The 22,850-nt window shown below is 47.5% G+C and overlaps 6 annotated features.

Annotated features, from left to right (window-relative positions):
- Positions 1,035–1,329: a silencer, noted in NCBI's record as "tiled region #4660; HepG2 Repressive DNase unmatched - State 8:EnhW". NCBI's record gives its function as "represses a minimal TATA promoter and a strong SV40 promoter by Sharpr-MPRA in HepG2 cells {active_cell/tissue: HepG2}" and the evidence as "EXISTENCE:reporter gene assay evidence [ECO:0000049][PMID:27701403]".
- Positions 7,981–9,180: an enhancer, noted in NCBI's record as "P300/CBP strongly-dependent group 1 enhancer chr1:41340995-41342194 (GRCh37/hg19 assembly coordinates)". NCBI's record gives its function as "activates an origin of replication core promoter dependent on BRD2, BRD4, P300/CBP, MED14 and CDK7 cofactors, with strong dependence on P300/CBP, by STARR-seq in HCT116 cells {active_cell/tissue: HCT116}" and the evidence as "EXISTENCE:reporter gene assay evidence [ECO:0000049][PMID:35650434]".
- Positions 7,981–9,300: a biological region, named in NCBI's record as "P300/CBP strongly-dependent group 1 enhancer GRCh37_chr1:41340995-41342194".
- Positions 9,129–9,300: a silencer, noted in NCBI's record as "fragment chr1:41342143-41342314 (GRCh37/hg19 assembly coordinates)". NCBI's record gives its function as "represses an EF-1alpha promoter that drives an FKBP-Casp9 reporter gene in an ReSE screen in HepG2 liver carcinoma cells {active_cell/tissue: HepG2}" and the evidence as "EXISTENCE:reporter gene assay evidence [ECO:0000049][PMID:32094911]".
- Positions 14,065–14,564: an enhancer, noted in NCBI's record as "H3K4me1 hESC enhancer chr1:41347079-41347578 (GRCh37/hg19 assembly coordinates)". NCBI's record gives its function as "activates a minimal SCP1, AML or CMV promoter by ChIP-STARR-seq in naive H9 embryonic stem cells {active_cell/tissue: H9 hESC(naive)}" and the evidence as "EXISTENCE:reporter gene assay evidence [ECO:0000049][PMID:30033119]".
- Positions 16,477–16,978: an enhancer, noted in NCBI's record as "H3K27ac hESC enhancer chr1:41349491-41349992 (GRCh37/hg19 assembly coordinates)". NCBI's record gives its function as "activates a minimal SCP1, AML or CMV promoter by ChIP-STARR-seq in naive and primed H9 embryonic stem cells {active_cell/tissue: H9 hESC(naive and primed)}" and the evidence as "EXISTENCE:reporter gene assay evidence [ECO:0000049][PMID:30033119]".

Genomic DNA, 22,850 nt, shown 5'->3' on the forward strand with positions numbered 1-22,850 from the left:
CACGGTGGCTCATGCCTGTAGTGCCAGCACTTTGGGAGGCCCAGGAGGGCGGATCACCTGAGGTGAGGAGTTCGAGACCAGCCCGGCGAACATGGCGAAACCCCGTCTCTACTAAAAATACAAAAATTAGCCAGGCATGTTGGTGCGTGTCTATAATCCCAGCTACTTGGGAGGCTGAGACAGGAGAATCACTTGAACCCAGGAGGCAGAGGTTGCAGTGAGCCAAGATCGCACCACTGCACTGTAGCCTGGGCAACAGAGCAAGACTCTGTCCCAAACAAATAAATAAAGTGAAAGAAGGAAAGGCTGTACAATGTGTTTGTGTTTTAAGCTAAGTGCTATTACAAAAGAGTTTAAAAGTTTTAAAAAGTACATAACGTTACAGTAAGCTAAGGTTAATTTATTATTAAAGAAATAAATCTTTGTTATAAATTTAGTGTAGCTTATAAAGTCTACAGTAGTGTGCAATAATGTCCTAGGCCTTCACATTCACTCACCACTCACTCACTTACCCAGAGCAACCTCCAGTCCTGCAAGCTCCACTTGTGGTAAGTGCCCTATATAGGTGTACCAGTTTTTTAAAATCTTTTATACTGTTTCTTTTTTTTTCTTTTTTCTTTTTTTTTTTTTTTTTTGAGTCACAGTCTCTCTCTGTTGCCCAGGCTGGAGTGTAGTGGCACAATCTTGGCTCACTGCAACCTCCGCCTCCTGGGTCCAAGCAATTCTCCTGCCTCAGCCTATGGAGTAGCTGGGGTTATAGGTGTGCATCACCATGCCTGGCTAATTTTTTAATTTTTAGTAGAGATGGGGTTTCACCACGTTGGCCAGGCTGGTCTCAAACTCCTGACCTCAAGTGATCCACCCGCCTTGGCCTCCCAATGTCTTAGGATTACAGGCGTGAGCCACTGTGCCTGTCCTATACTGTATTTTTATACCATATTTTTACTATACCTTTTCTGTGTTTAGGTACATGAATACTTACCATTGTGTTAGGGTTGCCTACAATGTTCAGCCCAGTAGCATGCAGTACAGGTTTGTAGCCTAGGAGCAATAGGTTATACCACATAGCCTAGGTGCATAGTAGACTGTGCCGTCTGGGTTTGTGTAAGTACACTCCATGATGTTTGCACAATGATAAGATCACCTGACAACATGTTTCTCAGAACATATCCACATTGTTAAGTGACTCATGACTGTATTTCAGAGAATGATTCCCCACCACTAGGTCAGCTCCCAGAGAGCACAGGCATTGAATATCTTGCTCTACACAGTCTTTCCAAGGCATCAGAACAGTGCTTGACACATAGTAGGGACTTAATAAGCATTGACTGTATGAATAAATTAGGCACAGAAAAACTTACTATCCTTGTGGCTTATGCCTGTAATCCCAAGACTTATAGTAAGTATCCTTATCCTTACTGTCCTTATATTTGAGCAAAGACTTTTTGACAGAGAAGGAAACTGAGGCCCAGAAAATGGTTGGAATTGCTGAGGTATGTATGTGGAGTGTATATCTGCGGTGTGTGTGTGGTGGAATCAGGAGTGGAGGCAACATTTGTAGCCCTTGGAGCAGAGCCTTTCACACTGACCTAAGCTGCTTTTACCCTAAGCCACACCTTTACAAGCACGAGTAGACAGGACCATAGTAGACTTTGGCCCAGGTGGGCATTGACCAAGGAAAGGCACTGGGCCCTGAGCTCCATCTTGTGCTGCGGGGCAAGGGTGCAGTCCCTTCCTCTCCCTCCCTGTGTCCAGTCCCCCTTCTGAGGACACACCGGAGGACCCATCCTAGGTGGCTTCTACCTCCCTCAAAGACCTCAGGTCCTGACTGGCGTGGACACTTGATTTGCTACCTCTTGGGTTTTGCTCTTGTCCACTGCCGCATTTCCAGCACTCAGCAAGGGACTGTCTAGAGGTTGACTGAGACTGGAGGTCTCATGAGAGGGTGTGGGGAGGACCTCATTCTCGAACTTCTGAGCTGGTTTCCTGGTCCATAGCTGACCAGGCTTCCAACCCCCCAGGCAGCTTAGCCGACTTACACCCAAACCTGGTGGCTTCTCTGATGCTGAGGTCTGGGCTGGCTGGCAGGCAGAATTTGTCTCCTCTGCCACTTTTTCTCTATGTTGCAGAGGAGAGGAGATATTGCTACCACATCCCCCAAGGGCCATGTCCTCTAAGAGACCCCAGCTGGTGATCTGCACCATTGTACCTGAGGCTCAGATGAGAAGAATAGGCTACAGGTTGGACGCAGTGGCTCATGTCTGTAGTCCCAGCTGCTGGAGAGGCTGGGGCAGGAGGATCACTTGAGCCCAGGAGTGAGCCATGATTACACCACTGCACTCCAGCCTGGCTGACAAAGTGAGACCCAGTCTCAAAAAATTAAAAAAAAAATTTAAAAAGATTGAGGCTACAGCATCTGATTGTAACAAGAATAACATTAGTTAATGTTTACTGAATACAGTATACCAGACATGGCCTGCATGCTTTACAGATACTGTCTTATTTAATCCTCATAATAAACCTATGAATAGTTACTACTATCGTTCCCATTACACAGAGGAGGAAACTGGGACTCAGAATGGAGAGTGACCACAGGGCCACACAGCTAGTGATGGAGGACAGGCATGTGGAAGCTCTGCTAGTTGCCTCTCAGGGGGCACTTTCCTCTTTCCCTTTACCTGCATGCACTCCAGCCCCAACAATATCAGCATAAGAGAAAGGTAATATTTGAGCAAAAACCTAAAGGAGGTGAGGGAATTGGTCAAGCAGACATGGAGGTGAGTAGGAGAGCATTCTAGACAGAGGAAAGAGCCTTCCGTATCTGCTTGGCCAATATTACCTTTCTCTTATGCTGAGCACCCTATTTAATTGTAGTGGTTTTCAAATATGTCTGCAAATTCTTTGATACTTCTCCCTTAAATTTCCCTCTCCTTGAATGTGGGATAGACTTAGTGACTCACTTCCAGCTAAGAGAATACAGCAGAAGTGATGGTGTCATTTCCAAGGCTAGGTCATTAAAGATATTGTGGGTTCCTCCTTGCTCTCACTCTGGAATCACTTGCCCTGGGGAAAGTTAGCTGACATGTTGTGAGGATACTCAAGCAGCCCCTTGGGGAGGTCCACATGAAAGGAACCGAGGCTTCTTGCCATCAGTCAGTGAGGAATTAAGGCCTTTTGCTAATGGCTGTATGTGTGAGCCATCTTGGAAGCAGCTCCTCCAGCCCCAGTCAAGCTTTCAGATGACTGCAGCCCCAGCCAACATCTTGTTTGCAAACTCATGAGAAACCCTGAGGCAGAATGACCTAGCTAAGCTACTCCTGGATTCCTGACCCACAGAAACTGACATACTAAATGTATGTTGTTTTAAACTGCCCAGTATTGGGGTAATTTGTTACACAGCAATAGATAGTTGTCCCTTGGTATCCATGGGGGATTGGTTTTAGACTCCCCATGGATACAAAAATCCTCATTTGCTCAAGTTCTCAATATAAAATGACATAGTATTTGCATATAACCTATGCATTATCCTTTGGTATTCCTTAAATCATCTCTAGAGTACTTATAATATTGAATACAATGTAAATGCTATGTAAATAGCTGTTATACTCTATTGTTTAGGGAATAGTGGCAAGAGGAAAAAGTCTGTACATGTTCTGTACAGATATAATTTTTTTTTTTTTTGGACAGGGTCTTAAAATGCAGTGGTATGAGCATGGCTCACTGCAGCCTTAACCTTCCAGGCTCAAGTGATCCTCCCACCTCAGGCTTCTGAGTAGCTGGGGCTACAGGCATGCACCACCATGCTTGGCTAATTCTTTTTTCTTTTTTGTAGAGACGTGGTCTTGCTATGTTGCCCAGACTGGTCTTGAACTCCTGGGCTCAAGTGATCCTCCCACCTTGGCTTCCCAAAGTTCTGGAATTATAGGCATGAGCCACTGCACCTGGCCTAGTCACAATTTAAAACAATTTTTTTTTTTTTCAATTTGAGACTGGTTGAATTCACAGATGTAAAACCCATAAATACTGGTCAACTGTATATTAATATAGTAACCTGTCTCCTTTCCATCCCCCAAATGGGCTTTACCTTGCTCTACTTTCTATTTCTTCTCAGCATTTATCATTGACTAACACACTAAGTAATTTTTTGTTTTGTTTTGTTTTGTTTTAGAGGCAGGGTCTCACTGTGTCAACCAGACTAGAGTGCAGTGGCACAATGCAATCTCCTGGGCTCCAGCAATCTTCCAGCCTCAGCCTCCCAAAGCACTAGGATTATAGGCGTGAGCCACCGTGCTTTGCCTCATTCCACATTTTAATACTTAGAGAACTTACAACTATATTTTATTGATTCTAAGACACAAAAATCTTTTTTCACACTAACTTTTCCAAAATAAAAATCTTTTAGGCCAGGCATGGTGGCTTATCCCTGTAATTCCAGTATTTTGGGAGGCCAAGGTGAGTGGATTGTTTTAGCTCAAAAGTTGGAGACCAGTCTAGGCAACATGGCAAAATGCTGTCTCTACAAAAAATTAAAAAATTAGCTGGGCATGGTGGCATCCGCCTGTAGTCCCAGCTACTTGGGAGGCTGAGGTGGGAGGATGGCCTGAGCCCAGGAGGTGGAGGTTGCAGTGAGATGAGATCGTGCCAGTGCACTCCAGCCTGGGCAACGCAGCCAGACCCTGTCTCAAAGGAGACAAGAATCTTTTAAAATTGATAACATTTCATATTAATGAGATACAGTATGAATCAGGCACTGGTCTAGGTGTCTAAATGAAACAGGCAAAGTTCCCTGCCCATGTGGAGCTGATATTCTGATGGTAGAGAGATAAATAATTAAACATAATAAATAAGTAAATTAGGCTGGGCCCGGTGAATCACACTTGTAATCCCAGTGCTTTGAGAGGCTGAGGCGGGAGGATTGCTTGTGCCCAGGAGGTTGAGGCTACGGTGAGCCATGATCATGCCACTGCACCCCAGACTGGGTGACAGAGCAAGACTCTGTCTCAGGGAAAAAAAAAAAAAGTAGAATGACAGATGCTGATTTTGTTTAGGGCATCAATTTGCCCAGCCAAAAATCAGACACATTCCTGGCCAATGAGGTCTGAGCAGAAAAGGCTGGGTGGGGCTTCCTGGAAAGCTCTTTGAAAACAAATGGGATTATCCAGAATAAGTAAACTCACAGAGACAGAATGCAGACTGGTGGTTACCAGGTGCTGGGAGGAAGGGAGAATGGGGAGCAACTGCTTAATGCATACAAGCGTTCCTTTACGGATGATAAAAAAATTTTGGAACTAGATAGAGTTGGTGGTTGCACACACATGGTGAATGTATTAAATGCCACCGAATTATTCATTTTTAAATGGCTAATTTTATATTACATAGATTTCCCCTCAATTGAAGGGAAAAACAGACGGTTTCAGCCAGCACTCACTTTCTATGCTTTGCCTTTCCTCTTTTTCTGACAGGGATGAGGATGTGATGCCTAGAAAGGCAGCAGCCATTTTTTCAGCGTAAGGACAGAATAATAGTAACAATAACAGCTAACACTTATAGAGCACTTAATATAGAGCCAGGTACTGTTTTAAGCTCTTTGCATACATCTGGTCATTTAATATTTACAACAATTCTATAAGGAAGATACTGTTATTCCCACATCATAAATGAGAAAACAGGTACGGAGAAGAAAAATCATGGTCCATGCTAAGGATGGCAGAGTGAAATCTAGTTGAAGCCTGAACCCTCCATGCGCCATGGAAACTCTGTAGCAGCCCTGGATTCCTACCTTGGTCTTCTTAAGTATTTGAAAAAAGCACTCCCTATTTAATTAAACCATTTTAGTTGGATTTGTGTTCCACACATCCTGAGATTCAAAGCCAGGTATGTCTGACATCAGTGCAAGTGTACCTAAGCACTCTGCTCTCCTAGCCTGCAAATAAGTGGTCAAGTGCTTTTCAGCCTCTCTGATCCCAATAGATGGTGGCCCTCTTGAAGGTGGAGGGGGGTCTTCCTCCACTGTGAAGTCCCATCATTGAGCACGGGTCCTGGTCCAGATGGAGCAGTGCAGTGTGGTGTTGGGATTAGCAGTTTGGACCCAGAGAAGGGGCTCAGAGTGCGGTGAGGGAGACATTCACTGGTGTAGAGCAGACATCAAAGATGAAGTGAGCCCAGAGGCAGGGGAACTTCACGATGGTCAGGATCTGGACAGATGAAGAAGGCAGGAAATGGGCTTTCTAAACAAACAGCACAGCTTTTGAGGGAAAGCACCATGATGTGAATGTACAGAGTGATGTTCAGGAAGTACCAGTAGCTGGGTGAGGCCGGAAAAATGGGTGCTGAGAGAGGGAGAGATCAGTCCTGAAGGGTGAAGACCCTTGAAAGTCAGGACTCAGAACATTGAAAATCATCTGTGCAGAGCTTTCTGTGTCATCTCACTGCAACAAGGAGAAATGGCAGGAGGTGTTTCTCCCATTTTACAGAAAGGAATTGATGTTCAGAGAGGCTTAGTTTGGCTAATGTTGCCTCGCTAGCAAGTGGCAAGAGTGGGACTTGAACTGGGGTCTTTTAACCTCATGCCCTACACTTGCCTGCTCAAGCAAGCGATTGTCAGCCTGCCTCTGTGGGTAGGGAGGGACAACGGAAGCATTCCAAGCGGGAAAGGGATGCTCCTTCTACGGAACTTTTGCCAGTGGAAAGTATGGAATGGATTTGAGGTGACTTGCTAGGGCATGGCAGTGAACCCATTCATTCATTCATTCATTCATTCATTTTTGGAAGCCCTGAGGCTGGAGGGCGGTGAGCTGAGCATTGACCATCAAGCAGGTAGGCACGGGTCAGATTGTTGGGGCACCAAGTCAAGAGTTTGGGTTGTGTCACGAATGGGATGGTAAGCCACTGGAGCCAGGAGGTCACCCTGCATGACCCCAAACCCTGTGACCCTGTGGAAGAGGGAGATTAGGAAAGGCAGGAGGGGCTCAACCAGCTGCAATGGAGTCACATGTAAAGGAGGCAGGGGCATTAAGTTCTAAAATCAGCAGGTAAGGCAAAAGTCATATGCAGTCCTTAAGAACTCAGTAAGGAGGCTGGGTGGTGCAGTGCCTCATGTCTATAATCCCAGCACTATGGGAGGCTGAGGTGGGTGGATCACTTGAGGTCAGGAGTTGGTGACCAGCCAGGCCAACATGGAGAAACCCCATTTCTACTAAAAATTAAAAAAAAAAAAAATAGCCAGGTGTAGTGGCATGTGCCTGTAGTCCCAGCTACTTGGGAGGCTGAGGCAGGAGAATTGCTTGAACCCAGGAGGTGGAGGCTGCAGTGAGCCAAGATCATGCCACTGGGTGACAGAGCAAGAGTCCGTCTCAAAAAAAAAAAATTCAGTAAGGAGCTTATTACATTTTTGTGAATTCAATCCTTATAGTAATAGGTATGTTTTTATATATGCTACATGGTAATATGCAGTATATGGAAAATGCATATATTTACACTATATACAAAGTGTATAATTTAATATTGCTTTTTTTTTTTTTTTTTGAGACAGGGTCTTGCTCTGTCACCCAGGCTGGAGTAATGGCACAGTCATATGCCAAGTGGAAAAATCATATGCCAATGGCACAAGTTGCAGCCTTGAACTTCTGGGCTCAAGCCATCCTCCTGCCTCAGCCTCTGGAGTACCTGGGACTACAGGCATGCGCCACCCACCACATCCAGCTTTTTTTTTTTTCCTTCCTTCCTTCTTTCCTTCCTTCCTTCCTTTCTTTTCTTTCTTTTCTTTCTTTTTCTTTTTCTTTTTTTTTGTAATAGAGATGAGGTCTTGCTATGTTGTCCAGGCTGATCTCAAATTCCCAAACTCAAGCAATTTTCCTGCCTCGGCCCTCTAATATTGCATTTAAACACATAAAAGAGAGAAAAATGAGTTGGCTTGTGCCTATAAAGTTGTTTGTGTGATTTATAATGTAAGTACACCGAGACTCCCCAGAATGGATGCTGTTGCTGCCCTGTCCAGATCCCCTTTCCCAGCTGCCATGATGTAGACTACTAACAGTCACAGCTGCCCGCTTCTTTTGAGAATTGTTCTCAGCCAAATAGAAGCTTCCCATCTCCCCCACCCTAGTCCTTGACAGTCCTGGGAAGAAACTAGTAAGGGGTATAAAAGGCTGGTCCTCTTGCCTCAATGTGAGACTGACTCTGTGGAGTAATTGGCTGGGACCTGTTCATCTTTCCTCCTTCCTTTCTCTCTCTCTCTTTTAAAAATTATTATTATTATTTTTAGATACAGGATCTCACTATATTGACCAGGCTGGTTTTGAACTCCTGACCTCAAGCAATCCTCCTGCTTCAGCCTCCCAAAGTGCTGGGATTACAGGTGTGAGCCACTGCATCTGGCCAGATGATGACCTTGACCTCTGATTGCTGCCACATAACTGGAACTCAGAGACCTTCTTGCACATCTGTGGAAAGGGGAGTTTGCTTTGAACTGCATTTCCTCACCAGCGTCACCCATTCCTTAAGAGTCAGGTTGATAAACGAGTCAATGCTGAGCCCAAACCAGGCAGGATTAATCATTTCCTCCTCCACATTGCTGCTGCTGCTGCTGCTGCATCCTGTGTCTGAGTCATTTCCTCATCTTTAATAGCTAACATGATGCCCAGTACAAAATAGGTATGGGGGAATATTTACTGAATGAATGTCATTGAATCTGACACCGTTGGATGTTGGATCCACTCAGTCCACTTGGCCACAGTTTAAGCAGCGTGAGGGTAGAGCCAAGTTTTTTTGTTTGTTTGTTTGTTTGTTTGTTTTTAGAGACACTATGCAAATAGGTAGAGCTAAGTTTTACTCTTTGGTGTGGGAAGGGCAGGATGGTGCAGTGCAAGAGCATGAGCTCTGCAGACACTCAGGAATCCTGTGCTTGAATTCCAACTCTGTGCCTCTGGGTCTTGAAATTTTAGGCAAATTATTTCTCTTGGAACCTGTTTCCTCATCTGTAAAATGGGGGTGATATCAACAAGAGTTATGTGCCAGGCAATTAGGAGGATTAAATGAGATAATGCAACTAAAATTTCCATCATTGGCCTAACACAAAGTAGGAGCTTGGTAAATATTAATTTTCTCTATTCTGGTATTCCCATAGGACCTGGAACATGGCAGACAGTCAGTAAGTGCTGGGTCACCTTCAGGCCACCCTGGACCATCCAGCTCTAGCTAAGCCATCAGCTGACTACAACTACATGAATGAACCCAGGAGATAAGAGCAGAAGAATCACCTAGCTGAGCCCAGCCAAACTGCAGCATATAGTATCATGAGCTAATAAACAATTCCTGCTTTAAGCCCTAAGCCCTAACAATTTGAAGTCCTTGTTACACAGCAAATACTGTTGCAAACAATGACGTTTTAAGAAGAGCTGGGATCGAGCTGGTATTTAGGAGCAACTGAAACCAGGACTCTCTTGTTCTGTCTCATGTCTTTCCTATTTTCTGCACGTTATCTTCCCTCTCTTTCATAGCACATTGATTTTCTTCATGGTGCAGAGAAAAAGGTTGAGTTTTATAGCTTGCATCTTCAAGATAATGGAGAAAAACTGATTCTGTTTTCTGCATCTCAGATCTAAAAATCCCTGGGAAAAGACTCATTGGCCCAGCTTAGGTCAAGCCTCCCCTTGGACCAATCAACTGGTAATGGAGTAGGGAGGGCACTCCATCACAACACACACGTTAGATGACATATGAGCAAAACTATCCCAGGCACTGTTTTAAGGCTTAACATGTGTTAACTGACTTCATCCTCATAATACAACAATCCCATCAGAGCTATTATTGTCTCTGTTTTGAAGTGAGGAAACTGAAAACAAGCCACAGAGAGGTGAAGTAACTTGCCCAAGACTACACAGCTAAAAAGAGGTGCAGCCAGGACTTACACCACAGCTATCTGACTCCAGAATCCACCCACTTAATGACCACAGTGGTCTGCCTCTCATATTGAGTTCCTGGGGGGTTCCAATAGATTGAGGGGTGGGCAGGATGGAGGCACTCCAAGGAAATATCTGGAATGCTAACTCAGAGAAGGTAAGCCTCTGGGGGCCCTTGATCTCACTGTCTTCAGGCCTCTAAATGACTCTCACTAGGCAATGGCAGTGGAAGGTTCTGGATCACCTCAGAAAACAAATCTAGGATCAGTGGGTGGACACCACTGGAAAGTGGGTTTCAATTCGATGGTAGGAATTTCTTCAGAGTCAGGGATATTAGTGCTCAAAGTCACACAACAAGCTGAACTGGGGTTTAAACTTATGCCTGAAGGAGTGCTGAGGCTTTGCTGTTAACCACTGTGCCCCATCTTCGTTTCCTTCTCAAAATGAGGAAAAGAATATTGGTGGAGGTGAGGCAGGGAGACACAGGGCCTACATCTACCCACATTTCATTAAAGGCCTGCTGTTTCCCAGCAGATGGAGGCTGCTTATGTGATCATCTCCAGTTACCCCGTGGGTTTGCCCCGCCCCCTTGGCTGGTGTGTAAATTCCCTGTGGGGAGAGTCATGTGCCCTCTTAAATGCCCAGTCTTATGCTGTCCTGGCTGGGGCCTGTGGGATGGGGGAGCTGGGAGGACGCTTCCTGTAGTTCCTCAGGTGCCTCCCAGCATGGCTTAGACTTTGGGGGCAGGGTTGGACCAGGCAGGAAGGGGCAGCTGGGGGTTTCCTCTGGGTGCGACAGCCTGGCTCTTGCTGGGCTGGAAGCCAAGCCTGGGAAGGAATTTCCCAGTCCTGTCTGAATTCTGTTTTCTCTTTTTATTTTATTTTTTTAGAGACAGAGTCTCCCTCTGTCACCCAGGCTGGAGTGCAGTGATGCGGTCATAGCTCACTATAACCTCAAACTTTTGGGCTCAAGTGACTCTCACCCCTTAGTCTCAAGAGTGGCTGGGACTACAGGAGAGTGCCCCCATGCCCTGCTAATTATTATTTTTATTTTTATATTTTTTGTAGTGACGAGGGTCTCACTTTGTTGCCCAGGCTAGACTCAAACTCCTGGCCTCAAGTGATCCCTCCACCATAGCTTCCCAAAACCCTGGGATTAGAGACAAACCTGAGCCACTGTGCCTGGCCTGAATTCTGTTTTCTTTGTGGAGGGAGGGAGAATAGTGTGAGAAGATGAATCCTGTTCCTCACCTCCCCAGCAACTAGCCTTAAGGTAGAAGAGGAGAATTGGGGTAGTCTTTATTTGGGAGGAGGAAGCAGCACTTTCTCATAAGGCATCAGGGTTTGGTGCTTCTCTGCTAGGAAAAGAATAATACTCTCACACCCCCAAAGCTAATAGGTGCCCAGGGAAGTCTTGGCTTAGTTGGGTGACCGTGCTGAGAAATAGAAATATAAATGTGGGCCAGACGCAGTGGCTCACGCTTGTAATCCTAGCACTTTCCGATGCCGAGGCAGGCGGATCTTAAGCCCAGGAGTTCGAGACCAGCCTGGACAATATAGCGAAACCCTATCTCTAGTAAAAAACCAAAACAAAACAAAAAAACAAAAATTAGCTGGGTGTGGTGGTACATGCCTGTAATCCCAGCTACTCAGGTCACTGAGGGATGAGAATCATTTGAACCTGGGAGGCGGAGGTTGCAGTGAGTCGAAAGTATACCATTGCACTCCAGCCTAGGCTGTGTCTCAGAAAGAAAGAAAGAAAGAGAGAGAGAGAGAGAGAAGGAAGGAAGGAAGAAAGAAAGAAAGAAAGAAAGGAAAGAAGGAAGGAAGGAAGGAAGGAAGAAAGAAAGAAAAAGAAAGAAAGAAAAAAGAAAAGAAGGAGGGAAAGGGAGGGAGGGAAGGAAGGAAGGAAGGAGAAAAAAATATAAATGTGAGTCATATATTAAATTGGGAATGTTCTAGTAGCCACACTTAAGAAAGTAAAGAGAAACAAGTGAAATAATTTTAATAAATTTTATTTAACCCAGTATGTCCAAAATAATATCATTGAAACCTGTAATTAATATAAAAATGATTAATGAGGGATTTCACAGTTTTTGTACTAGATCTTTGAAATTCAACGTGTATTTTTTACTTACATCACAATTTTTTTTTTTGAGATGGAGTTTCGCTCTTGTTGCCCTGGCTGGAGTGCAGTGGTGTGATCTTGGCTCACTACAACCTCCGCCTCCTGAGTTCAAGTGATTCTGCTGCCTCAGCCTCCCAAGTAGTGGGATTACCATGCCTGGCTAATTTTGTGTTTTTTAGTAGAGACGGGGTTTCACCGTGTTGGCCAGACTGGTCTCGAACTCCTGACCTCAGGTAATCTGTCCGCCTTGGCCTCCCAAAGTTCTGGAATTACAGGCATGTGTCACCGCACCCGGCCTTATACCACAGTTTTGATTAGCCACATACCAACGGCTCAGTAGCCACATGTGGCTCATGGCTATCATATTGGACAGAACCATTTCAGATCACAGATTCTGGAAATGAAGATCCAGAAATCTCAGCATTTCTGCATCCTAAGATTGCTTCTGGAAGGACTTTAAGGTCATCTGGTCAAGCCCCTCACACACAAGGAAATGACTTCTCGAGGAGACCCACTGCTCCTAGCAAAGTTGATGTCCTCACATGTGCATCCCAGTCTGGGAAACTCCCCCATTCCAGCAGCCTCCTGCCAATGGAGATGGGCTGCTCACAGCCAGCCTCAGGGCATAAAACAGGGGCAAGAGGTGAGGCAGGAAGACACTGGAAGGACGTAGAATGGACCCTACCCTGGCAGACTTCCTCTCCTCTGTCACCTTCTCCCTTTCTGGAGGGAATGTCACCGCCTGGGCACAGAGCGGGCAGGAATTCTTTTGTTAACTTCCCAAACTGGAACATAGACTCAGGCCCACCCCTTCCCTTCTGATTCTCCTTTCTCCATATTCATGGCTGCCAACAATGAGCTAGACCCTGCAAGCTACAAAGATAAGAGGCAGAGGCCCTGGGAAGGAGAAACTTTGCTCAGACTTCATGGGGGAAGGAACAGTTAATTCTGCCCGGGGACCCAGGGCAGGCCTCCCTGCTGGAGGAGGTGTCTGAACAAAAGGAGCAGTGGGGTGGGGAGGCTGGGGGTGGGGTGGGGGATGTTAGTGATGATGAGGGACAGCAGCTGAAGGGAAAGGGCATCCAGGAAGAGGGTGACAGTCCAAGAAAGGGGCAGTATGAGGGAGCTGGTCTCCTATTTTCTCAGGGGCCATGGCCACTGCTGCTCTTTCTCCTCCCAGAAGTTGCCTTGACTTCCCCTATAAGAAAGGGAAAGGAGATTCCTTTTTTTTTTTTTTTTTTTTAAAGAGACAAGGTGTCCCTTTGTTGTGCAGGCTGGTGTCAAACTCCTGGCTTCAAGAGATTCTCCTGCCTCTTCCTCCCAAATTGCTGGGACTACAGGCTTGAGCCACTGTACCTGGCCAGAGAGTCCGTTTAAGAAGAAAATCTGTCTGCTTCACCTGAGTTCCTAAAAAGACCAGCACATGGTGGATAGCCAATGAAGGCTTGTTAGTGAATAGAGGAGAGGGCAGAGAGCAGATGAAGGGTCTATTAGGCTGAGACTAGGCCAGCTGGGGCACAGAGTGCATGATAGGTGGAGGGGCAAGAAGGGGACTGGTGTGTTCTGAGCATCTGGTTTGTCTCCACATCTTCAGAATCTTATTCACTCCCCCAATAGTGAGAGGTAGGTGGTATTGCTCCCATTCTACAGAGGAGGAAAATGAGGTTCAGTGACCATCTGGGATTACGGCTCGTTCTGTCTGATTTCAAAAGCCCATCTTTCTAGGTGCTTTCTGGCATGTCCTCACCTGGTTATTGCCAAGAACTCAGCAGTGACCAAGTTCTTGGTAGGCACCCACGCCTTTGAATTCCTGGTGAAGTGGAGGGTTCCTGGAAAGGCCTTCGGAAACAGAAGGCCACTACCAGGCTTGGTGATCACCCAGCCACATTCCTCTCCACCCCCAGGTAAGGACAGGAGGCAGTTCTGAGAGGTAAAGCGGCTTGCTCACATGGGGAGTGGGTGGCTGGAGGTGGGATTGACCACCCTGCCCCTGGGCACTGACTCATGGCAGCTGCTGTGGGAAAGCCACTTCCAGCCTTGGCTTTCCCAGCCAGGCAATGGCCAGGATTGCTTTGCCGAATCTGCCTGGGCCTGGAGCCAGGGAACTGGGAAAAAGCTGAGCACAGCATATTGCCAGGGTACCTCACCCTCTCCCTGCTCCCAGTGACAACAGCTTGCATGGGGCATACCTCCCCGTGTGCAGGAGCCTTTCCAGTTTCCAGAGGGATCAGGCCAGGCCCGGGCCCTGATGCTCCTCAAATCCCCAGTACCCAGCACAGGCAGGGTGACCCACCATCCTGGTGTGCTGAGGACTGTCTTAGTTTCAGCATGTCCTGCATCTTGGGAACTCCTCAGTCCTGGGCAAACCTGGATGGTTGGTCTCCCTAGCCCTGCACCAAATTCATAGTTGGCACTGAAGAAATGTTCTAAGTAGGCCAGGTGTGGTGGCTCATGCCTGTAATCCCGGGACTTTGGGAGGCCGAGGTAGGAGGATTGCTTGAGCCCAGGAGTTTGAGATCAGCCTGGGCAACATAGGGAGACCCCATCTCTACAAAAAATAAAAAGATTAGCCAGGTACGATAGTGCGTGGCTACAGTTCCAGCTATTCAGGAGACTGAGCCAGGAGGATCACTTGAACCCGGGAGGTCGAGGCTGTAGAAAGCTGTGATTGCACCACTGCACTCCAGCCTGGGCAACAGACTGACTCTGCCTTAAAAAAAAAAAAAAAAAAGAGAAAGAAAAGAAAAAAAAAAAAAGAAAGGAAAAGAAATGTTCCCAGTAAATGAAGGAAATTAGCAAACTAAAGAACAACAAATGGGCAACAGTGCTGTGAGGGAAACAGAACAAGGACTGCTGAGCTCATTTTGTAGCTGAGGAACTGAGGCCTGAAGAGTTTAAAAGTTCAGGCTCCCCATCTCTATCTTATGCCTTTCCTCCGCACCAGATCTCGAAACTGTTCCCTGATAATTTTGAGCTGGTCCCTGGGGTGAGAAGCAGCTGGGCCAAAGAGAAGGCATTCAGTGGCTCTGTGCCTAAGCTTAGGCAGAAAGGACACTGAGAGATGGGGAGGAGGGGGGGCTGCTCTACTTTTTTTTTTTTTTTGAGACGGAGTCTCGCTTTGTCGCCCAGGCTGGAGTGCAGTGGCACGATCTCGGCTCACTGCAACCTCTGCCTCCCAGGTTCACGCCATTCTCCCACCTCAGTCTCCTGAGTAGCTGGGACTACAGGCGCCCACCACCACACCCAGCTAATTTTTTTGTATTTTTAGTAGAGACGGGGTTTCACCATGTTAACTAGGATGGTCTAGATCTCCTGACCTCGTGATCTGCCCGTCTCGGCCTCCCAAAGTGCTGGGATTACAGGCGTGAGCCACAGCGCCCAGCTGGGGGGCTGCTCTATTTCAACTGCATAGCGAAGAGCCTGGGTGGCCCTGCCTGGCTTGGTGGGTGCAAACCTGACTTCAGCCACTGCTAACTGTGTGGCCTTGAGCAAGTGACATATTCTCTCAGCTTTAGTTTCCTCATCTGTAAAATGGGAATACCATAATGATGCCCAGCTCCTGAGGTTTTTGCAAGTATTAAATGAGATAATGCATAGAAAGTAATTAGCACAGTGCCTGGCACAGCATAAATACTCCAGAAATATCGGCTGTTTTTCTTATATATATATATATATATTTCTTTCCTATTAATGTATTTTTAATTTTATTTATTTGTTATTATTATTTTGAGACAGGGTCCCACTCTGTCACCCAGGCTGGAGTGCAGTGGTGCAATCTTGGCTTACTGCAGCCTCAGCCTCCTGGGCTCAAGCAATCTTCCTGCCTCAGCCTCCCAAAGTGCTGGGATTACAGGCATGAGCCACTGTGCTTGGCCTTTTTAATTTTTTTATGGTCAATTGCAATAGTGTTCTTTTTCTTTTTTATGTTTTTTCTTTTTTATAGTAATTATTTTTATTATTTGGTGCAACAGGCATTAACTGCATACTCACTTCGTGGTGTAGTGGGAGCTGCTTCAGAGGACAAAAGTCTGACACTCCTGTTATTTGGCAAATCCCATGGCTTCTCTGCGACTCAGTCTCCATGTCTGTAATATGGGGTTTTACCTAATTCAGGGCTGCTGTGAGAAGTGTGAGCTAGTGTGTATTTGGAGAGAACAAGTACTTAATAAATGAGCCATCTCTTTCCTCCCCATGCCCGTCTTAAACTTTAGAATGATCCTGTAAAGTTCATATTATTATTATTTTTATTTATTTATGTATGTATGTGTGTATTTATTTTTTGAGACAGAGTCTTGCACTGTTGCCTGGGCTGGAGTGCAATGGCACTATCCCAGCTCACTGCAACCTCTGCCTCCTGGGTTCAAGCGATTCTCCTGCCTCAGCCTCCTGAGTAGCTGGGATTACAGGCGCCTGCCACCACACCCAGCTAAATTTTTGTATTTTTAGTAGAGACGGGGTTTCACTATGTTGGCCAGGCTGGTCTCGAACTCCTGACCTGGTGATCCACCCGCCTAGGCCTCCCAAAGTGCTGGGATTACAGGCAAGAGCCACCGCGACTGGCCTACATAGTATTATTATTCCCAACTTACAGAAAAGGAAACAGTCATTAGAGGATACTTAGAAAACGTCTGTGTCGTGAATAAATGAACGAGTGACTGAGTGAGTGGATGCGTGGACGAACGAATGGATGAATGAATGAGCGGATGTGCGTGGACTCTGCGGGCGGGGCGCCCGTAGTCTCCCTCCTTCGCACCCCGGGCGCCTGGGAACCTCCTCGCGCGTTTGGCCACTCGCTGCTCCTGGCAGTAGGGGCTTCGGGCCCCGCCGCTGTCCCCACCCAGGTATGGGGATGCGGAGTTGATGGGTGCGGGGCGCTGGGAGGGGGCAGATGAAAGGGGCAGTCGAAAGGGGGCCATGCGCGCCGAGCGCAGCCGGGTCATTAGCCGCGGGTGTGAGCGGCGGGGCAGGCTTATCGCCCATCCAGGCCTGGCGGGCGGGCGAGTCCCCGACGCGGCTGCCGCCGCCGCCCGCGGCAGAGGGCACGGCGGTTCCCACGCTCGGGCCCTGGTTCGGGGGCGTTCTCGGGACGGCGTGGCCGCGCTCACCACCACCGCGGAGGCCGGGCTGTAATTAGGATAATTGCGCTGCTCCCAGCCTGGGGCAGCTCAGGACCCCGGCTGCACCGCGCTGGCCCGGGACGGGCGGGGGCAGGGGGTGGCGGGGCCCGAGCGATACAGCCCCTGGCGCAGTCCGTTCCTCTAGACAGGTGAGTCAGCACACCTGGGCGGCCCCAGCCACCAAGGGGCTTTGTGGGGAAATGAGGGAAGGGGAGAGAACTAGCCTGGACGGAGCACCTAATGTATGCCGGCGGTGTGGATTAAACTATTCCATTACGGCTCAACATTGGGGTATTGCGGGAGTAGGTGAGAACATCTGTCCTGCCCGGTGGTGCCTGACCCAGAGAAGATGTGCAAGACGAATAGCATCTTCATCTGCACAGCAGTTTAGCAGGTGGGCATCAGGAGGCCCAGAGGTTAAGTCTCAAGACTACACAGCCGGGAGATGCATGCTTCAGAAAGGAGGACGATGAAGACCTGCCTGGAGTGGTGGCCCACAACTGTAATCCTAGCACTTTGGGAGGCCTAGGCGGGGGAATTGTTTGAGTTCAGGAGTTCGAGACCAGCCTGGGCAACATAGCAAGACCCAGGTCTCCCCCACCACTCCATCTCTACAAAAAATACAAAACAGGCCTGGCACGATGGCTCACGCCTATAATCCCAGAACTTTGGGAGGCCAAGGCGGTCAGATCACCTGAGGTCAGGAGTTCAAGAGCAGAGCTGGCCAACATAGTGAAACCCCATCTCTATTAAAAATACAAAAAAATTAGCTGGGTGTGGTGGCAGGCGCCTGTAATCCCAGCTACTCATGAGGCTGAGGCAGGAGAATTGCTTGAACCCGAGAGGCGGAGGTTGCAGTGAGCCGAGATTGCGCCATTGCACTCCAGCCTGGGCAACAAGAGCGAAACTCCATCTCAAAACAAACAAACAAAAATATTACCTGGGTGGTGTTGTGCGCAGGTAGTCCCAGCTACTCAGAAGGCTGAGGCAGGTGAATTGCCTGAACCCGGGAGGTGGAGGTTGCAGTGAGATGACATTGTGCCACTGCACTCCAGCCTGGGTGATGGTGTGAGACCCTGTCTCAAAAATAAAAAGAAAAGAAAAGAAAAAAGAAAGAAAATGAAGACCTGACCGTCCTGGCTAACACAGTGAAACCCCGTCTCTACTAAAAATACAAAAATTAGCCGGGCACGGTGGCGGGTGCCTGTAGTCCCAGCTACTCGGGAGGCTGAGGCAGGAGAATGGCATGAACCCCGGAGGCGGAGCTTGCAGTAAGCCGAGATTGTGCCACTGCACTCCAGCCTGGACGACAGAGCGAGACTCCATCTCAAAAAAAAAGAAAAAGAAAAAGAAAAAGAAAATGAAGACCTATGCCCAGCGAGCTTTGGCTTTGCTCCCTCAAGTACCTCATTTTTACTGCATCTTGGATCCCAACCATAAAGCCCATTCCTGATCCTTAGGTTCTTGGCAGGCCTAATCATAACTGCAGATCTTTATCACTGATACAAGCCACATGAAATCCTTCTGGAAAAGGCAGGTTAAAAAGAAATGATCTGATTTCAAGATCTAATCTCTAATCCTAAACCCAACCTAAACCTTAACCCTGCTCCTCCATACCTAACTCCCAAATTAATCTTCACCTTGGCCCCTGCCCATGTCTCCAAACTTCTCCCCGCAGTGATCCTCTGCCACTCCTCCCACCTCCCCAGGTGCCCTCCTTTCAGTGGTGGTTTCAAGTCTCTGGGTCTTTGCATATGCTGCAGCCGCACGTCAGGATATCCTTTTCCAGGGCCACCTGGTAAACTCCTCTCACCCTTCAAGGTCCTCCACAAGCCCTTGGTGTTCCTTTCCCGGCCCTGTGCTGCCTTGTTTCCTGACCAGGCTCTCCTCAGATTCAGCTCTTAGGAGGTAGGGTCTTAATCTGCTGGGAGTAAAAATTGGAAGTAGAACAAATGATTGATTGTGAATGAGTGAGTGAGAGAATGAATGAATGAATGACTTACTGAATAAACAAGTGAACACTGGCCAGGTGCAGTGGCTCATGTGTGTAATCCCAGCACTTTGGGAGGCCGAGGCAGGAGGATCACTAGAGCCCAGGAGGTTGAGACAGCCTGGGCAACATAGGGAGACTGGATCTCTACAATTTTTTTTTTTAAACAAACAAGTGAATACCTATTCTGAATCTAAATCCTTAACCTTCTCCCTGGATCCATTCCCAAGAAGGGAACAATTGGAAGATCAAGAGAACCCCCAGCCACCAGGTGCCCTGAGATTGTTCTGTGTGTGTGCGTGTGTGCGTGTGTGGGTGTGTGTGTTTTCCTGTGTGCATGCCCGTGCATGCACATGCGCTTGAGTCAGGAACTTTGAATCAGACAAGCCTGGAGTCCGCTCCTGGCCACAGGGTTCACCAACTGAGTGACCTGAGCAAGTACCTGCACCTCTCTGGGTCTTCATGAACTCAAACATGCTAACAATAAAAAACCCATCATGGAGAATCAGCTCTTCTTCCTTTGTTCATTTACCCTCCCCCAGCCCCTTGCCTATGGCAGGCTCAGTGTTTGGTGCTGCGGGAACAGGAGTGGAAGGAACACATTTTTCCCCTCAAGGAGCACTAGTAAGGGTAGGAAGCAGGTCTGCAGGGAAGAGGGAACAGCCCCTGGGTGGAGAGGGAAGCTTCTTAGAGGATGTGAGAATCACTTGGGTTTGCTGCTGGACAAGTCAAGGCAGAGGCAGCCACATGTTCAAAGACAACAAGCTGTGAACAAAGGGTTCCCTATTACTGCTGGAGAATGAGGTGGGAGGTGGGGGGTGGTGGCAGAAATTGGGGCTGGTGAGGGTGACAGTGTCCAGATCAGGGAAGGCTTTAGGGGCAGTCTGTGAAGTCTATGAAATATGCACACTTTATTCTCTAAGCAATAGGGAGCCATTGCAGGTTTGGGCAGGGAGGGATGGGCAGGTCTGTGCTGTAGAAAGCTCACTCTGACCAGCAGTGTGGAGGCCATCATGGAGGTGGCTGTGGTGAGAAGCCGGTGGGGGAGTGCAAGGGACATGAAATGATCTTGGTAATAGCCGACCTTTATTGAATGCCTACTATGTTCTAGGTGCTTAACTCATCTAATTCCCACAACACCCATCTGAAGTAGATTCTCTCATGAGCTCCTTCTAGAAATGTCATCAAAACACTAAAGTCTCCAATGTTTCTATCTCCAGCCTGAACCTCCCTTCTGAATTCCACACCTATATGTGCAATAGCCGGTTGGCTTCTCTACTGAATGTCTAATAGGATCTTAACCTTAACGAGTCCGAAAACAATCTCCCCAAACCTGCTTCTCTCAGTCTTCTCCATCTCAGTCAATAGCAGTTTCACTTTTCCAGTTGCTCAGGCTAAAAATGTTGGAGTCATCCCTGTCCACCCTCCACTTCTTACTTCCCATATCTGATCTATCTGCAAATCTTGTCGGTTCTAACTTCGGTACATACCTTCTGGTCTTCTCACCCCTCTCCTCCAGACTGCTGCCAGGTGGGCCAAGTCCCCACTGTTTCCTACCTGAATTACTGCAGCGGCCCCATTACTGATGGGCTCCCTGCCTCTGCCCCTTCGACCTATTCTTCACGCAGCAGCTGGTGTGACCTTAACATACAAAGCTAGATCAGGTTCCTCCTGCTCAAACCTTTTCCCAGCTCCCTAGAGTCAAAGTCCTGATAATAGCAGAGAGATCCCAACATGATCCAGTCCTTGTCTCCCCAGCCCCTTGTCAGACCTCTTCCCACATGCTTCCCCCCAACTCCAGCCACACTGACCCCCTTGCCAGCTTTCCCATTAACCTCAGAATTATTGCACTTGCCATTCCTTCTACCTGGAATGCCATCTTCCCAGATATCCGTGTCATTTTCTCCTTCAAATTTCTGTTCAAATGTCATCTTACTAGTGAGATCCTCCTTAACCACCCCATTAAAAATAACAACTTGGCTGGGTGCAATGGCTCACACCTGTAATGCCAGCACTTTGGGAGGCCGAGGTGGGAGGATTGCTTGAGGCTAGGAGTTTGAGACCAGCCTGAGAAACATAAGGAGACCCCCCCATCTATACGAAAAATTAAAAAATTAGCTGGGCATGGTGGTGCGTGCCTGTAGTCCCAGTGACTCTGGAGGCTGAGGCAGGAGGATCCCTTAAGCCCAGGAGGTTGACTCTGCAGTGATCCATGATCCTGCTGCTGCACTCCAGCCTAGCCAACAGAGCGAGAGCCTGTCTCAAAAACAAAACAAAACCTCACCTTCCTCCCCTACCCAGGCACCTTGTATCCCCTTCCCTGTTTATTGTTTATACTACATGTCACCATCTGAAACATTTTATAAATTATATTTTACTTTCTGGTTTATTATCTTTCTCTTCTCCTCTCCCCTTCCCTCCCCTCCCCTCACCCCACTAGAATGTCAGCTCCACAAGGACAGAGATTTTTCTTTATTTGCTTCACTGCCATATCCCCAGTGCCTAAAGTATTGTAGGTGCCCAGTAAATTCTTCTGAATGTTGACTATGGAATCTGTGTGCTACAGAAACTAAGGCACAAGGAGATTAAGTAAACTTGCACAAAGTCACACACTAGTAAGTGGTTGGATTTGGATAATGAACTCAGAATATAGGCAGTGACAGCAGAGAATGAGAGGAGGGAATGAAAGAAAACAAGGACCTGACAGATGGGCTCCAGGTCCATGGGCTGATGTTGCACCAAGGGGTGAGGTTGATGTTGTGAGACCTCCGGGGGTTGACATGAAGATTAAATGAGCTGAGACTTGAAAACACATTGTATATATAGGGAAAAGAGATTTTAAGAAAACTATTATTCCATGAATTTTGAATTCCCAGCCATGTTCCTGGCCTTCTCCACCCTTGCTGCTGAGGCATCTGTTGCTTCCAGTCGGGGGCAGATTCAGCAGCAGATGAGCAGCTCATCCTTAGCTTTGCCTTTCTAAATGGATTTTTTGAAAGAGTAGAGGAGACCTAACAGTGTCAGAATCCAGAATTTCAATGTAAAGGCCTACACAGTTGGGAGAGATACCCAAAACTTCCTTTTAAATGTCAAGACCTGGGCTGGGCGCAGTGGCTCACGCCTGTAATTCCAGCACTTTGGGAGGCTGAGGTAGGTGGATCACCTGAGGTCAGGAGTTGAGACCAGTCTTGCTAACATGGTGAAACCCCGTCTCTACTAAAAATACAAAAATTAGCTGGGCGTGGTGGCGTGCGCCTGTAGTCCCAGGTACTCGGGAGGCTGAGGCAGGAGAATCACTTGAACCCGGGAGGCAGAGGTTGCAGTGAGCCGAGATTGCATCACTGCATTCCAGCCTGGGCTACAGAGTGAGACTCTTGTCTCTAAAAATAAAAATAAAATCAATGTCAAGATCTGGAGTCTGGCCAAGGTGGGGCCTGGACTTTTTACTATGAGCCCTGGAGGGAGGGAAGGTATGAGACAAAGCAGTGATTCTCCAATTTGAGTGTGCATCAGAATCATCTGGAGGGCTTGTTTCAACAGGGATGGCTGCCTGGGCCCCACCTGCAGAGTTTCTGATTCAGTAGCTCCAGGGCGGGGCTGGAGAATTTGCATTTCTAACATCTTCCTAGGTGATATGAACCACATATATATATATATATATATATTTAAGAGGCAAGGTCTAGCTCTGTCACTCAGACTGGAGTGCAGTAGCCTGAT

Source organism: Homo sapiens, chromosome 1 (assembly GCF_000001405.40).
Source record: "Homo sapiens chromosome 1, GRCh38.p14 Primary Assembly".
In the NCBI taxonomy this organism is placed as follows: Eukaryota; Metazoa; Chordata; class Mammalia; order Primates; family Hominidae; genus Homo; species Homo sapiens.